General features: G+C 35.8%; 1 protein-coding gene across 8 annotated transcripts in view; it reads left to right on the top strand.

Annotated features, from left to right (window-relative positions):
* Positions 1-13,557, top strand: part of DEPDC1B (DEP domain containing 1B) — a 103,255-nt gene that overhangs the window by 50,477 nt on the left and 39,221 nt on the right. For all 8 annotated transcript variants that reach the window (XR_007058609.1, XR_948274.4, NM_001145208.2 and 5 more), the window contains exons 3-7: positions 2,157-2,292; positions 4,071-4,198; positions 4,815-4,945; positions 6,831-6,878; positions 10,800-10,940. Coding sequence is in view for 6 of the 8 variants with exons in the window: in NM_001145208.2 (NP_001138680.1) it covers positions 2,157-2,292; positions 4,071-4,198; positions 4,815-4,945; positions 6,831-6,878; positions 10,800-10,940 (584 nt within the window). In the remaining 2 variants the exon portion in view is untranslated. The remainder of the gene's footprint in view (positions 1-2,156; positions 2,293-4,070; positions 4,199-4,814; positions 4,946-6,830; positions 6,879-10,799; positions 10,941-13,557) is intronic.

The raw sequence follows: 13,557 nt of genomic DNA, 5'->3' as shown, positions 1-13,557 counted from the left end.
TGGTTTGTTCTCTTGGCCAGTTGTGAGGCTTTTAAATTAGTTGCTTTCCTCTTTTGAGCCTTAATTTCTCTGAGTGAAAAATGTGGCATTTGAACTGGATCATCTTTAACAGGTGAAATATTACATTATTAAAATATTAGGATTAAATTGCTAACTTTCAATGCCCGAAATAGAAGTACTCCACTGGAGGGAGCTCTTCTGCATTTTTTCTCAGACAAAGTTGTCAGACTGCTGTGAAAATAGATAGCACACCTTCTATTGGTAACTGCAGATATTACTGACAGCAAAGATCTCATCTTCTTAGTGTGGAGGAAAAAGGTGATTTCCTGGTATTTCTTCAGTCACAGTTTTGCATGTAACAAATTCTGTTTTGGTCTTTGGAAGATACTACTTTTTTCTGGTTATGGGAATATAAGAAGCATCTTTTTGAACTTAGGAGAAAATTTATGGGTCATCCAATTTAATTCCTTCATTTGACAAATAAATAAATTATTATTTAGAGAGACTTATACTTTCCAAAAGACACATAGAGAGTTTGTGAGAAAGCCTGGAATTCAGGTCCAAAAATTTTTATGCCATAGTCGAGGGAATGAAGTGGGAGAATAAACAGAGGGCATTAGTGGTGGGATGGGAGTAGGGATTGCGTTTAGTTTTGAATGAACTGAGAAGTGGGTGATCTGTGAACTCCGGCAATTACATTCAATATCCTACCTGTATGTGAGCATATGTGCACATACATATGCATAAATGCTGTACTTTGTCTGGAAATGGGCATTTGTTGGGATTGTTGACTTGTAGGAAATAAAATTGGACTTTTATAAGCCACCCTTTATTTATAAAGAAAGATGCTTTGGCTATAGAGATTCATTTAGTTTATATTTTGGAATCTTTTGGGAACACCTGCCTTGGTAACTTGATTACCAAACTTTAAACTATCTTTAACTTAATTTACTGATTTCCAGAACTCTCTTTTTTTAACTGACCCAAAACTGATGTTTAAAATAGTTATTGGATATTCTTTTCAGAAAAGATGAAATGCAACTTTTCTCCACTTGTCATTCCTTTTCAAATCTATTGCGACTGTTTTTGAAATGTTTCTCTATTTGAAGATGAGAAATCATAGTTTTCCTCAACCTTCAGAAGTTCATACTTGGGACATATTCCTGCAAGAAAAGACAGATTAACAAGAGAAAAACAAGCAAGTTTGTTAATGTGTGCAGTGCACATCCCGTGGGAGAAAAATAACTAGATGCAGTGCCTTAGAGTCCCAGCTTATATGGTCTTCAACAAAGAGCAATAAATTTTAGAGAAGCGTCAGGACACATGAAAGCAGTTTAAGGCTTCCAAAGGCAGGAAGGTGTGGGAAGGTAAATTTATGGGGAAACTAATGAAGTCTGCTTAGATGCCTCTGGTGTAGTCTCTAAGCTGATAAAGGTTGTAAAGGAGAATTTACCTACTGTTTTGAGGCAGGAAAGAGGGAAAGATAGACTTTTTGTATTTATATTAATAATACTCTGCTCTTAGGCAAACAGAGGAAAGACAAAGCACTTTTCCATATTTGCTTCAAATGGCCTTTAGCCCCAAAAAATTATGTCAAAGAGGAATGTTTTGAGGTGACACATTCTGTTTCCTTCAGTACTCTCGTTGGTGAGTCTCCAGATTCACCTTCATATAAACTTCCCTTGAACACTATAGACATTTTATAATTCTTTATTTCTGCATTTGCTTTGAGATAAGGTCTTTAGTTATTTGTATGATTTTTTTCTGTGGATAACATGGGTAAGATTTTTAAGCTGTTTTTTTGGCTTAAGTAAATAAAAAGTCAAAATAAAAGTCAACAACCCGCTGCCTTTTATGTCAACATTAAGAACTAGAGTTCTTACATTGCTTTTGCAGTGCAATGTAATGCATTGTATCCTTTTCTAACAAGACTGCAGAAAAATATTATCTGATAAAAAATATGTATTCAATCACCTTTCTTTTCTTTATCAGGTATGGTATAGAGCAGTTTAAAAAATTAAAATTTATGTAATTATTGTATAAATATTGTACAAATTATTGTATAAATTTTCAGATACACCAAAGTGGAGACTATTGTTAAAATATCTGTGTCTCCCACTGACTGCAGTAATAGAGAATTTCTTCTTGGGTTTTAGATTTCCTCCTTCTTCACCCCTGAAACCATATCCAAAGAAGCCCCCAAACCAAAAGGATGTTATTAAATTTCCAGAATGGAATGATCTCCCACCAGGCACTTCACAAGAGAACATCCCAGTGAGGCCAGTTGTGATGGTAAGTGCCATGACTGAAAGATGGAAGGGCTGGCAGCAGGGAGAATCATCCATGAACTCCTAGGCTTGGTCTTTCTGTGGTCCTTTATGAACAATAATTTAAAGGTACTTTAAAACAAAATTGTACCTGCCAACAGCTGGGAGACCAGTAACAAGGAAAGAATGACTCTTGCAGTTTTTCACTCTTGCATGTAAATAGTTGTTGTACTGTATTGTTTAGGGCAGCAGTCCCCAACCTTTTTGGCACCAGCGATGGGTTTCATGGAAGACAATTTCTCCATGGACCAGGGCTGCTGGGGTGGGGGTGGGGGTGGTTTCGGGATGATTCAAGTGCATTACATTTATTGTGCATTTTATTTATATTATTATTACATTTTAATATATAATGAGATAATTATGCTACTCACCATAATATAGAATCAGTGGGAGCCCTGAGCTTGTTTTCCTGTAACTAGATGGTCCCATCTGGGGATGATGGGAGACAATGACAGATCATCAGGCATTAGATTCTCATAAGGAGCACACAACTTAGATCCCCCAGATGCACAGTTCACAAAAGGGTTCACGCTCCTATGAGAATCTAATGCGGCCGATCTGACAGGAGGTAGAACTCAGGCAGTATGTGAACAACAGGGAGCTGCTGTAAATACAGATGAAGCTTCACTCACTTGCCCAACGCTTACCTCCTCCTGTGCAGCCTGGTTCCTTATAGGCTATGGACTGATACCAGTCTGTGGCCTGTGGGTTGAGGACACCTCGTTCAGGGAATAACAAGAAGAAGAAAATGCTACATGTTCAGTACAGATGCAACCATCCATTTTTTTCCTCTGAATATTTTCAATCTGTGGTTGGTTGAATCCATAGATGCAGAACCCATAAATACAAAGAGTCAATTGTATATGGCAGCTGTTTTTATATGTTCAGACTGAGCAGGTTTCTGTTAAAACTCTCTTGTAATCCCCTTTTCCTGTACATTCTATAACTTACTACTCTTCTTCCTCTTTGTCTCTTCCTCCTAAACTGTTATTATTGCCAGTTGAGGGTAAGAAGGTTAGGATGTGGAATATTGTGTACTAGCCCCTGACCAAATATATAAGCAAAGGTAGATTCTTCTAGTCTTAGAAAACCGAAGCTCATTGTAGAATTGACTGCCTCTTTTTTTCACATTTTTTCCTTAAAATACCCCCAGTAGAAGACCACCAGGACTGAGGTGTAATGCTAAAAAGCAAACAACAAAAAAATTTCTGTTCCTTTTGCCATCTTCAGCTGTCCTTGTGGAGCCTTTTGCAGATGGCTAAGATTTGGGGGCTACTTTCGAACATTGCACTTACTTGATATTTGCTTATAAAAAATAGACAGTCCTCAAAAGTAATACATTTTAATTCCATTTTCAATAATCAGTCTGTACAGTGTATGAATTTAGATATGTATTCCTTAATTTTGAATTGATAACATTTTATTTCACTGCTATTTCACTGATTAGTTGAAACGTCCACAGGAAAAATTAGCTAGTTAATGCCATACTTACTGCCATAGCTCTTTTGTAATTCATGAATATTCATTTATAACATGACCTAGTCTTAAGAATCACTCTTTACTTCTCTGAGGTCCATGTAAAGAAAGTTAGTTTATATTTCTAATTATTATTTTAAATCAAGTTACAAGTAACCAAATCAAAGACATTTCTCATAAAAATCCCACCACCTTATATTGAAATATTTATTCACTGTCTTTCTACCGTTTCTCCTTCCCTCCCTTCTTACATCCCCCCTCCATTAGAATTCTGAGATGTGGTACAAGCGTCACAGTATTGCAATTGGAGAGGTGCCAGCTTGCCGTCTTGTCCACCGCAGACAGCTGACAGAGGCCAATGTAGAAGAGATATGGAAGTCTATGACATTATCATAGTATGTACATTTGATATTAATGAGAAATTTTAGAGATATTGTTTCCTATTTTGCTACTTCTTCACTCTCTGCATATTTAATTTTCTGAAATTATGTATAAAAATCTCAACTTTGCATTATTTGCAGTTGTGATCAGCAAACATAGTTTAACTGAATTCTGGGGATTATCTCCTGCTATTTACATAATAGTTAGGAGTTTAAAAGTTCTTAAGAGTAATAAGACACATAATAGAAAATTTGGTCTCCTAGATACTGATGTACTGTATGTATAAAGTTAACAATCATATACAGCAAAATTTTGTTCCTCATGAAGATATGCTAATAGTAGTTTCTTATCATTGGATAAGTTAGTTTTTATGTTGTAGTATTTTTACTTACAAAATTACTTTCTTGTCATTTGGTGTGTTACTAAATCTGTGAAGCAAAATGTTAATAGCAAAAGGATATCTTTTACATTTGTTTTATTGTACTCCATTTCTACCCTTTTTGCCCCGCAAAGATTGGGTGCAATGCATGAAAATAAAGCATTATAAAGATTGATTTTTTGTAGTACCAGGTTTTTGAGTAAATATAATATTAAAGACAGAACTAATTAATATAATTACTTATCTTTTAGCTTACAGAAAATTCTTGGCCTGGATTCCTTAGAAGAAGTTTTAGACGTCAAACTTGTCAATTCGAAGTTCATCATCCATAATGTATATAGTGTTAGCAAGCAGGGAGTTGTTATTCTTGATGACAAGTCAAGTAAGTGCATAAATATAATTTTGTTACTTATTGACATAATATATTGGCTGCACAGGTCCATCAGCTCCTTTCTGACCCTTCCCTAAACCCTGAATAAGTTTGTTCCTTCATTACGTATATTCTTTCTAATACCTTTTAACAAATTGTTTGGAATAAGGGAATGTCATAGGAAGATGAGTATCTAGGAATGAGAGCCTCAGCAAAATCCATCCAGAAGCTAGTTCAGTGTTAGCCACCTTGGGCATTAAGTGGTTTCGTATTCCCAGGGAAATCTCTGAAAAGTGAGAATATTCAAGACATAACCAAGAGTTAGAGTCAGTTTTCAGGTGGGCCCTGGGGTCTGACTGCATTTAGAATTCTCACGTTTTTGTTTTGGCTTCTCTGTGTTAGATTTTCTGGAATAGTCTTGGTTCTTTTTAATAAGGTAGTTTTTGAAATGTTGATATTGCTTTGATTTTTTATATTTCCCACCCTAGACCAGTTTACAAATCAGAAAAAACAAACAAACAAACAAACAAAAGAACCATATAACAGCCACCTAACATGGTTTTTGGTTTGTAAAAATGTGGTTAGGGTACTGATAGTGGACCACAGTCCCCACACTGATTTTAAATCTTTCTGTGGATAAGGACCAGATTTGGATGGGCTCATTGATTTGTTCTTCCTTTAGTTCAAACCCTCGATGCTGGGAATTGGCTGGAACTTGATGATCTTTGGATGTGGGAAGATGGCATAATACTTCTTGACTTTTTAAAAATATGATTAAATTTAGGGCTGGAGGCTCCTGGGAAGCAGACAGAATGTAGCAGAATAGCCTGAGCAGTGGTGAGAGGGGAAGAGATTTTTCTATGCCATGTTTCCTGACAGGAGCAGAACCTGTCTTCAGACCTGAAACACTTCTCCTTTTATAGTCACTATATGAGGAATGGAGGACAATGAGAGACAAATAAGTTTGTGGTGACTTTATGAGTTTTGAGGTTAATATCAACATATAAAATTAAGTTCCATAGAATGAAGGGAAGAGTGCAGCCTTTGAAATACATCTAAAATTCTTCCACATTCTCTGAGTGTAGCAAATTAATATTTTTAGTTATCAGTTAGATGATCAATCATCTTTCATTTTATTAAGTAAGATCTTAAGAAAGAAGAGAGCATTTTACAAGACTCCAGTTCATTAGATCTAACACAATTCAACAAGTGTCTTCGCAGTTTTACAGAAATAGAGAAGATGAAGTGGCAGCCTGAGTGCTAGCCCATCTCATCAGATGTCTGTGGCAGGGCGTGGAGGGAAGAGATTCTGTACCAAATGGTTCAGCTGGGATTTTTTTTGTAGCAATGTTCAGTTACTATTATTTAAAGGTTGTCCTAATACTAATAGCCTAACATTAATATGTCAGTGGAACTTTCTTGGCCTAAAGCATTTTGAAAATGGAAACATGTAAAATGATACTTATATTGGACCTACAGAATTACCCTTTTTGAGGGGCTGGTGGTGTTTGATGAACTTGTTTCACAAATGTGTTTGACGACTAATATTTTTTCTTTTCTTTTTCTTTTTGTAATTCTTAAAATAATTGGTTTGTCTTTTGGTTTGTTTGTTTGTTTGGAGCAAACTATACATTTTTTTCTTTTTACTATAGCTTTAAAAAGGTGCATTGTGTCCTTAGAGAAATCTGTAGGCATTATTTATGTAAGTGCATGTTATAACACTGCTGACAAGGAAAGGTTTCCATCTTTTAAATGTTCTAATAACATAAATTGGTGATTTGTGATTAGCAGATATGGTTCATATTACTTGGGCAAGTAATACATTCTTATGATACCAAGTATGTATATGATGTCTTGAGTTATATGGAATTGAGTACAAATTTTCTTTTTCCTTCAGAAGAACTTCCTCATTGGGTGCTGTCAGCTATGAAGTGTTTGGCAAATTGTAAGTACTAATTATCTGCCAGTTTTGTGAAATTAACAGAAATTAGTGCCCTAAATTAGGAAAAATTTCTGCTCAATGGCCTGAACATTGATGTGACACCTGTGAGACTGGCAGTTAATTATTTTGGGACTACTGTGCTTTTAGTGATAAATTTGTGACTTAGTGAAAGGACTGAATTCTAGAACAGTTTTAAAGGGATTTAGTACTTCTACTTTCTAGTAGATCCATCCACACTAGTTCTAATTGCTTCATCACAGGATGAAGGATGGTTTGGAAGGAGAAGAACCTGCCATGTAGAGAAATGAGAAAGACTGTTTCAGTAATTTGGATGTTAGATGAGAGGGCCTGGACCAGGGTGGTCCCTGTGAGGATTTTTATAGGTATATGAAATCCATTTCATAGGCATGTGATTTCCATATCATTGAATATCATAGGCACTGTGAAGGCATTAGTTGTTATAGTATCTCAGAAACACTACCATTCTTCTGGGAATTTTCACAAGGGTTAACCCAAAGAAGGGATTCTAATGATTAATGGCTTAACCCAAACAAATAATTTTGATGGAAAGAGTTCTAGTTATTTTGGCTGACTGATAATAGTGATATTTGGTCTGGAGTGCCTTTTGAGTCTCACAGATACCACAAGGTAGTAGTTCATTTTCATTTCTTTTGTACGGAACTAGCACTACAGATATAGGTGAAAATTCCCTTTAAATTCGTGAATTAGTAAACCCTAAAACATGGGTTTAACTGAAATTAGTTTTGTTTGATTATAGAATGAAACTAAAATAACTCTTAAGCTTAATGTGGGGAATCTTAGTAGTAGTATATGGAACATGATCCTATGATTTTGAATAGCCTTTTGAAGATGAATGCTATTCATTCATTCTATACTATCCTTCTGTATATGAATAGTAACCATTGGTTTGTGTGAAGCCCAAGGTTCTCTGAGTTTAACTGTTAACATTTTCATTGGTTTTTGGTTAAAATTTGGAGCCTCTGAGATGCAGAGTACTATGGTCTTAGCTTGGGGAAGTGCTTTTTTTTCTTCCTGCTCAGGCATTTGAAGTCAATGAAATTTAAATTACATCCTTGTCTAGGGTTGACAATGATGAGATAGAGAGTATAAATGAGAAGTTAAACTTCCCATTTCTGAACTGGCAAATCAAGGTTTTAGAAGTTCATCAGGCCAGGTGCGGTGGCTCACGCCTGTAATCCCGGCACTTTGGGAGGTCGAGGTGGGTGGATCACAAGGTCAGGAGATGGAGACCATCCTGGCTAACATGGTGAAACTCCGTCTCTACTAAAAATACAAAAAAAATTAGCTGGGCTTGGTGGCGGGCGCCTGTAGTCCCAGCTACTTGGGAGGCTGAGGCAGGAGAATGGCATGAACCCGAGATTGTGCCACTGCACTCCAGCCTGGGTGACAGAGCAAGACTCCGTCTCAAAAAAAAAAAAAAAAAGAAGTTGATCAGCTAGGAATGAACATAGGAAGCTAGTATAACCAATCTAGTCTGTAATATGTTGTAAAATATATAGTAAGATGTTTATGATGTTGAATTTTCAATGATTACTGAAATGTAGTAAAGAACATAATTTTCCCTCAAGCAGCATGTGCACCGAAAGCCAAAAAATTTCTGCAGAAAGCTTAGAATAACTGGAATTTCTTATCAGTGGAGAGCAAAGATGTGAGGGGTGAATTACTAATGATCTTCATGTGTGTGAGGTGGCATGATACTAGGTGGCAAGTGCTGGGAAAAGGGAACTTGTCTCATATGTATCAAGTACTATGCTTTATGAGTGGCTGGCATATCTGTAAAGATGTTTATTTATGTGTCAAACAAATAAAGGTGGCCAAAGGGCAAGATTAACCTTTTGAGTAGCTTTATAAAGTCACAATGTTTTCTGAAATTCCTGTTGACCCTCAGAATCTACTTTGAGTCCACCAAAGTCACAACCTGTTTCTTGTCCATCCTATCCTTAATAAGTCCCAATTCATGTTTCAGTCATCTAAAAGGGAACAGAAAGGATAGGCTGATTGTATGGTATTTTGAAGGCCTATTGCCTCCTTTTCTGAAGGAGGTGCTGCTCACCTCTTTCTCTTCAGCCCATCTGTGTTTATTGTCACACCCGTGTGCACATGGGCCTGTATACATTCATTGTTGGCCAGCCTCAATGCTGGCTACATAAATGCAAAACCAAGTTAACTGTGTTTTTCTTCTTTGCGCATGTCCAGGATTCAATAAAAAATAGACACAAAAAAGTCAAAGCATTTCTTTTCCAGAATCTGTCAGGAATAACATTTATAAAAAAAATTTTTAAATATTATTAAAGTTCAAGATGACTGAGAAAGAAAAGGTCATAAAAATATGGCTTCCTCTCATAGGGCTCACCATGCACTGATTTTTTTTAGGGAAACCTTTAAAATTTTTTTGCATATTTTTAAGAAGGATGATGAGATGTTCACAAAGGGGTACAACTGCTTAGAATGAACCGTATACTTATCCTGACAGGGAGTAATTCTAGGCAATGTGTATTGCTTGCTGAGACATATCAACCTAATTATTTTAATTGATTAAGCTTGGGATATGTCAGAGCAGGAGGCAAGCAAAATGGCAGCTACCTTTGCTGCTGGATTCATGCTGTACCACACACATAGATATTTCACAATTTTCATTATTTTAGCCAATCAAATTATTTTATAAGAAGAGAACAGAATATTGAAAGGTAAGAGAGTCTTTAAGGAGGCCGAAAAGGCCATTTGATCATGTCACAGTGACCTTGAAATGTAAAGACCCAGAATGCTTTAATGTCCTTTTTAGCTTGATCCCCTTTCTTTAGTTATAGAGATTCTGTAGGAAGAATTTCCTTTCAATTTATCTTGGCTGCTGCTTTTGATCCTCTGGGGGTAGAGGTCTATTTGGGTACAGTTGTTTAGTCTTCTGCTGAGCCAGAGCTAGGCAATGAGGATGTGGTCCTTTCTTCCATGCTGTAATGGAAATAGAGAAGGCTGGCTACACTGTTCCTCATGGGACGACTTGCTATTTTCCTCAAGGTACAGGCAGCTCCAGTTCATCTCTCAACTTGGCAGTGTAAATCTGTGGTCTGTGGATGGATTGGTGGAGCAGTTGTTGCCAACTCTGTAGAGAACATTTCTTGTTCCTCTTTGGGCCAGACACAAGTGGATGTTTTCCTTGCTTGTTGATGGAGTAGGATATGGTTGGGAGCAGGCTGTTTCAGGGTTTCAGTGGTTGCTTCAACTTTGCAGTATGACTTTGCTTGATAAACTGTCTTTTGATGGTTGGTCAGTGATCAAATAAAGAGTTTATAATCAGAGTGAATTAAGACAAAATATAAAATCCCCTTTTAAGGATTTTTTTAAGTTTAAATATTTATTAGTCTGAAATAGAGGCAGAAATTATTTTGCTCAACTCTATGACTGTAGGATTTTATAATATAACAAGAATGAAATAATGAAAGTCTTTAAAAATTGCTTTATAACTTGTCTGTTACATATGTGAGCTAATTGTTATCTCGGTCAACTTTATTAAGACTAGGATAATGTTGAGTATTTCAAAGAAAATTATTGTTTACATTTAATAAAAATGCCTTTCAGAAGAATGTTTTTTTCTTAAAGAAAGGTTTCTTTTAAAATGGAAGTAAGCCAGTGATTTTCTTCATTGTTTTATAATAGATTTCAATTTAGACATAAAGCATATTTGTGTAGGCAAAATGTAAAATGCCTATTTAATTAATATCAGTGTAGAATGCCTATTTAATTAATGTCAATTTTCCCCATAAAAACTTTTCTGTATATGTCAAATATCTGAATATCTGTACACGCCACACATATTCACAGAGAATAATACTTAGAGGTAATTACTCCATTAATGTTTCTCTTTCACTCTCTTTTTGAAAATAGGGCCCAACTGTTCTGATTTGAAGCAGCCTATGTACTTGGGATTTGAAAAAGATGTCTTTAAAACCATAGCTGATTACTATGGTCACTTGAAAGAGCCTCTACTTACATTTCATCTTTTTGATGCTTTTGTCAGTGTACTGGGTAAGTTGGAATATAATGAACATATATCTACATCACTGATATTGAATCGTTTCATTTTTCACTATTTTGAGACTTCCATTAGCCAAAACTCATGCCATTTTAAAAATAAAAACTGATAGAGTATTTGGCATAGCTAGAGTCTTGCTCTGTTGCTCTGTGAAGAAGTAAAAGAAAGTGGTTAAGCTCTATTAAGAAACTCAAAGCAAGGACCAGTAGTTTTTGTTTCTTAAGAAAGAATATAATATGTTGTATGTCACTTTTATTCAAAAGACTATAACTTTATTGGCAGAGGAGAATGTAAGTTTGACATTTACTATTCCTGGTTAAATCTGTTATTCTGGCTATGACTTCATGAATAGTCAAGTGTGGGAGGTATATTTTCATTTAGAAATCTAATTTCTTTTTATAGAAGAAACAGGTTTTTTGTAGTATTTTGTAATTTGAGACATGAAATAAATATAGTGACTTTATCATTAATTAAAACATGTAGCTATTCCTCATATAGATTTATACTTTAGAATTTACACTGAAAGGAACATGGTAGAAAGGAAAAAAATCAACAATATTGTTATAGTTCGTTCCGATATTCCTTTCTTCTTGGAAATCAGATTTTCTTGTTCTTGTAATTGTTCATTAAGTATTATTGTTTTCTTGTCAAAAGAGCTTTAAGGATGAAATTATTGTGTGGGTATCATATTCTGTTAGGTAAAGTTGTAGGAATTAGCACACTTTTGTTTTTGATTGTTGTTGGGTTTAGCCATCTTTCCCTTTCCCTTCTTTTCACTTGCTTACTCTTCCTCCTCCTCCTTCTCTATGTCGTTCTTTCATTTTGGAAACTATGGATGCTGCCATTGTATTGTAACAAAGTATCAGCAATATGTAAATAAGTTACTTGATCTCATGAGAAATACTTTGGATTTTATGCTTTTATAGATTTCCTGATAATAACAAAATACAACAATTATCAATCATGTAAATAAGAGTCAGTGTTTTCCCACAGAACAACATTGGAACAAATTAAAAGAGTAGGCCTATTACTGGGTTTTGAGACTACTGGACCTTCTTGGTATTTTGGCTCCAACTGAGGAGAATTGGGGGCCCATGGACTTGTGAGCATCATGGCTAATGATGAATATTTGCTGTTGCTTAGTATGCTTATGGACTAATTGGGTAGATTCCTATTACAGCAACTGTATTAGGAATTGCATTGCTATAGAGAAATACCTGAGACTTGGTAATGTATAAAGAAAAGAGGTTTAATTGGCTCATGGTTCTGCAGACTGTTCAAGAAGCATGGCAGTGTCTGCCTCTGGGGAGTCCTAAGGGAGCTTTTACTCATGGCAGAAGGCAAAACGGGAGCAGGCATCTTACATGGCGGGAGCAGGACCAAAAGGATTAGGGGAGGTGCTACACACTTTAAAATAACTAGATCTTGGGAGAACTCACAGTTGCAACAGTGTCACCAAGGGGGATGGTGCTAAGCCATTAGAAACTGCCCCCATGATCCAATCACCTCCCACCATGCCCCACCTCGAACACTGGAGATTACCTTTCAACATGAGATTTGGGCGGGGATGCAGATCCAAACCATACCAGCCACTTACTGCCTTTATGCCACTGGCAAAATAAGAGTTTTAAAGATTGTATTAAAAATAACTTCTTAGATTTCATTCTCATTTTCTATTTTTATAATGTTCTATAGTAAAAGTATCTGTTTTGGAAACTTTTTCAAAAACAAATTCCAATTTGTATCAGTTATATTTACGATGTCACTGCTCTATTTTATCACAATTATTCATTTTGATCTCAGCTAGGCATGAAAGCTGCTTCTAAATTAGTATCGGAGTCAGCTGCCCTCTAATATATCATCTTTAGTGGCTTCAGGGTGGAAAAGGATGGGCAGATTGGGGGAATTTATTGCCTTTAGGTATCAGCAGGAATGCACTAATGCATATGGATGGTAATACATTAACCTTGCCTCATCCAGTCCTGTTCAAGTGAATATATTTGAGATATCTTACATCGAAAACTATTTTCTTAGATCCTTTCATAGTGGAAGAAGAAAGAAGAAGGCCTTCTAGATACGGAAGACCACAGTTTATCTGTTTAACAAAGTATCTAACATAGCAATCCTGTTAGATTCTGTGGGAAAAGGTAAATATCTACATATGTAGGTTGGATCCCAGTGGGGCTGACCCATCCTTTAAACCTTTTACTTACTTTGATTGGAATAGGATATCATTAAAGTATTTTAAAGTAAATAATAAGTCTACTTTGCGGAGAAGCTAAAAATTCTACAGTGTTTTCAATGGAAGTGATGTTCAGCTTAGTTAATAAACTTCTTTTGAGGTTTCTTCCTTTGCTTGTGGCACGGTTGGGCTTGGTGGCAAAGCTGTATGAGAGCAGTTAGTCATCACTGATACATGAGATAGGACATCTAAAGATTCTTTAAAAAAGACTTGGCAGTTTTGGAGATGAAAGACTTATTTGTTACTTATATTAAAAAAATTATTTAATTTGGCCCAGCTGTCTGACCTGCAAGTATGACTCCATTGTAGTTGATCTTCATTTCCAAAATAGCAATTCCTTGTAGTGAGATCAGAGCTCAGCTGACTCT

This window comes from Homo sapiens, chromosome 5 (assembly GCF_000001405.40).
Source record: "Homo sapiens chromosome 5, GRCh38.p14 Primary Assembly".
Taxonomy (NCBI): Eukaryota; Metazoa; Chordata; class Mammalia; order Primates; family Hominidae; genus Homo; species Homo sapiens.
This window is presented reverse-complemented; position numbering and strand designations above follow the sequence as displayed.